Source organism: Homo sapiens, chromosome 13 (genome assembly GCF_000001405.40).
Source record: "Homo sapiens chromosome 13, GRCh38.p14 Primary Assembly".
In the NCBI taxonomy this organism is placed as follows: Eukaryota; Metazoa; Chordata; class Mammalia; order Primates; family Hominidae; genus Homo; species Homo sapiens.
The window spans coordinates 105,950,345-105,954,197 of NC_000013.11; the positions used below are offsets into that span (position 1 = coordinate 105,950,345).

General features: G+C 35.8%; 1 long non-coding RNA gene across 1 annotated transcript; it reads right to left on the reverse strand.

The window, feature by feature from the left end:
* Positions 1-532: 532 nt before the first annotated feature.
* On the reverse strand, positions 533-2,828 carry LOC124903245 (uncharacterized). The gene is made up of 2 exons (XR_007063938.1): positions 2,570-2,828; positions 533-1,333 (listed from the first exon to the last, which is right to left on the reverse strand). It is a non-coding gene; the product is annotated as an uncharacterized LOC124903245 (long non-coding RNA).
* Between the last annotated feature and the right edge of the window lie 1,025 nt (positions 2,829-3,853).

Sequence of the window (3,853 nt, forward strand, 5' to 3'; positions counted from 1 at the left end):
GGGATTACAGGCACCCGCCACCATGCCCAGCTAATTCTTGTATTTTTAGTAGAGACAGGGTTTCACCATGTTGGCCAGGCTGGTCTCGAACTCTTGACCTCGTGATCCGCCCGCTTTGGCCTCCCAAAGTGCTGGGATTACAGGTGTGAGCCACCATGCCCGGCCCATCTGAAATGTTTTTACAGAGTAAAAAGTTCAAACAATTAACAAAAAGAAGGAGGAAGAGAATTATATGCATTCTCTGACCTTTACTTTATTAAAACTATCCTTTCAAGTCCATCAGGTAAAACTTGATTTAATGCTAGCTACTAAACATTTTTCTTGTTTTTCTTTTTCCATTTTTTTAAACCTGGCTTCATTGGCTGGGAGAGATGTGAAATCCAGGCCATGGGTATTTCTCTCTAAATGCTCAGCCTCCAAATGTCAGATTTGAATACTGATAAATGAAGTAAACCATCTTGGCTACTACAGAGGCCCTGAGGAAGGGATATAATTTCTCCAACAATCTGATCAAATGTACACAAAATAAGCATTTTGCACAAAATATTTATTTTAAATGAGCTTTTCTTTGAACACATCTTTATGTTCATTTTTTAAACTCTGCCCTAATGAGAAAAGGTAGATTCGATGCAATTTTAGTTTTAGAGAGCATAAAACCTTCTTGCTTAGGTACCCAGTGAATGGCTGATACTGGATTAGGAATTTGTTGTTGAGAATAATTAGTTCCATGCAAAACATTTCACATAAAATGTGTTGAAAGTCAGAAACCATACTGGTTGGAAAAACATACAATAACACAACAATAATAGGATGTAATTTTCAAGCCATTTTCAGGTTAAATAAAACTCCTTCCCAAATGTACTTAATTCCTTTAACGAATATCCTAAAATGGTAAGAACTAGATTAATATTAGCTCTACTTAACTGAGAGTTCAATTAATTTTGTAGCAACTCTGACAAGGTTTGGAATAAAGAGAAAGAAATAAGGAAAGAAGATTTGAAAAAAATAGGAATGTGGCTATCTAACTTAGCACCAAACACTCAACGTAAGTGTCCATACTTTCAAAGAGAGTAGAAAAAAAACAAAACATAGTCTTTGATGATGATTTTAAGCAAAATAACTATAGAAAAGAAAGAAGTTTTCTCTCAAATAACTCAGTCATGACTCAAGCAGGGAAGAAATGTTAGCTGATTGGAAGTCAGTTGTGCATTTTCTCACTAAAGAAGGTTGTCTGCACGATGGAGTCCAGTATCTGCTGGGGAAAAGTTACAACCCTTGGAGGCAAAAGAATTGTCCTCTAATGGGCTCCAGGTCTTCCAATTTCCACTTCATTCTGTGGCCCAGACAAGCAGAAAACATGTTTGAGGAATGATAAGACAAAGCAGTAAACATTAAATATTTTTAAATCCAAGGGTGGTCGTGAAAATTCTTGTCCCTCTACTTTCTACTCTGTCAAAGGCTCTCTTTGTTTAATCAATGAGGTTATTTTTTGAACAAAGAGAAATCAATATGCACTCAACAATCATCTCCTATGATCAAAATATGTCCCCCATTCTTAAAGCATAGCAAAGAAGGCTCAGTTTGGATTTTTAACAAAAAACAAAAACAAAAACAAAAACCAAAAAAAACACGTCATTCTGATGATGACTTGCATTTCCAGGAGACCGACAGTGCTATGCAATCTGATATTGAATAACATTTTCTATGACTGTGTTACTGCAGTTGAAAATATTTACTTTTAAAATTTTACTTTATAAAAATGTTTTAAGATTTTTTTAAAAAAAAGCAAAAGATACATATATATATGTATGTATATTTTTCTTTCCTCTTGGTTCTCTACTGCCAGTGTAAAAGATAACAACTATTGAGAGATTAGACATTCTTATGTGAACATGTACACACACACAAAGCAATGTTAATATACATACATGTGTATACATATATGGGTAGCTATAATTTTTAAATGGCTACACAAAATATATCTACAATTTTAAAATGGCTACATAGTATTATTTTGAGTGAATATTTATAATAACTGTCTTAAGCAACTTTCATTTAACTCACCCACTCACTTCCACTTCCTCTTACAAAACACAGTAGCATCTACTACCTGCTTACAACTTGCTAATAATAGGTTTTCCAACCCTCCCTCCCCACTGTCTACAAAGATTTAGTTCTGCTTGTCTTTAAAGCAAATTGCATTTGTAAGTGTAATTATGTAATTTAATTAAGCATGATATAAACCAATTAAATATGAGTAGGATAGGACAAAGATATGTTTCTACAAAAGCTAAGTTTAATGCATTGGGAAGATTCTCTTAAGATGACTATACAATTAAAAAGAAAATACAAGTGAAGTGGGAAGTGAGACAACTGTGAGGGAGAAAAAGATTGGGGCAGAAATGTGTAAATCTAAGAGTCTATATTCATTTTGCTTTACGGGTATTCTATTGTCTGGACAAGTTTAGTTATGCACATACTGAATAAAACAGTTCCCAGCCAACAGCCCTGAGATTTCCCTGGCTTAAAACCACAGGCTCCTATGCCTTGCTCATATTACATACTCAACCTGGATTGGTGAGGGACTCTGTTCCACATTGTTCTCACTCAGGGTCCTGGATCTTTGGAGCATCCATCATCAGGAACAAGTGCTATTCAACATGTGGAGAAAATAGGAGGAAGATTGTCAGTGTTGGCTGCTAAAGATGTCCCCTTGGAGGTAACATATTTCGTTTCCACTAACAACACATTAAACAAAGCAGGCCTATTGGCTAATCTCATCAGAGCCTGAATACACAATCCTTCCACCTGACCAAAAGGAGATGGCAACCGAATCTGGTGCACAATAACAGTGTTTACTCATCAAGATTTCAGTGACCCTGCCCCTTAAAACATAATCTGGACGTTACAGATCAAGCCTTAAGGATGAATTTATACAGAAGTAAATGATGTAGGATACCAGTTCAGACTCAAAGGAAAAGGCTTGGCTTGCATCTTTTGCCAGTTTCTCTGTATATTTCTTGATTAGTTGAAATTGGTCCTCTAGTATTGACTCTTGGAAAATATATTACTCATGGGAAATACATTCCCTGTATTCATATCCACATCCAAAAATAATTTTCTACTACATTTTTACTTAAGAGACAGTTTGACCTAGAAAATCCTTGAGGCTCTGTTTTTCTCATGACATGATAGACAAAGTTCCACATTTTTTATCTCTGCATGTTATAGTGGGAAACTCTTTAGTCAGCCTGAGTTTTCCTGTTGATGGATGACTTAATTTTCTGTCTGTATGTTCTAAAGATTTTTAATGCCCATATATTTATTGGGATAAAACTCATATTTGAACATTATTTCAACTGTTTCTAATACGTAAGATATATTTTCAATATGTAGTCATCTCCCTTATTTTTGGAAAGTTTTCTTGAATAATATCTATAAATGTTTTATCCACTATTTTTTCTTCAGAGCTATTATTTATGTATATGCTGGGTTTTTTTTTTTTTTTTTTTTTTTTTTTTTTTTTTTTTTTGAGATGGAGTCTAGCTGTTGCCCAGGCTGGAGTGCAGTGGCACGATCTCAGCTCACTGCAAGCTCCACCTCCTGGGTTTACACCATTCTCCTGCCTCAGCCTCCGAGTAGCTGGGACTGGGACTACAGGAGCCCGCCACCATGCTCAGCTAATTTATGTTTTTATTTTTATTTTTTTTTTTTGTATTTTAGTAGAGATGGGGTTTCACGGTGTTAGCCAGAATGGTCTCGGTCTCTTGACCTTGTGATCCGCCCACCTCGGCCTCCCAAAGTGCTGGGATTACAGGCGTGAGCCACCGTGCCCGGCGTATATGCTGGTTTT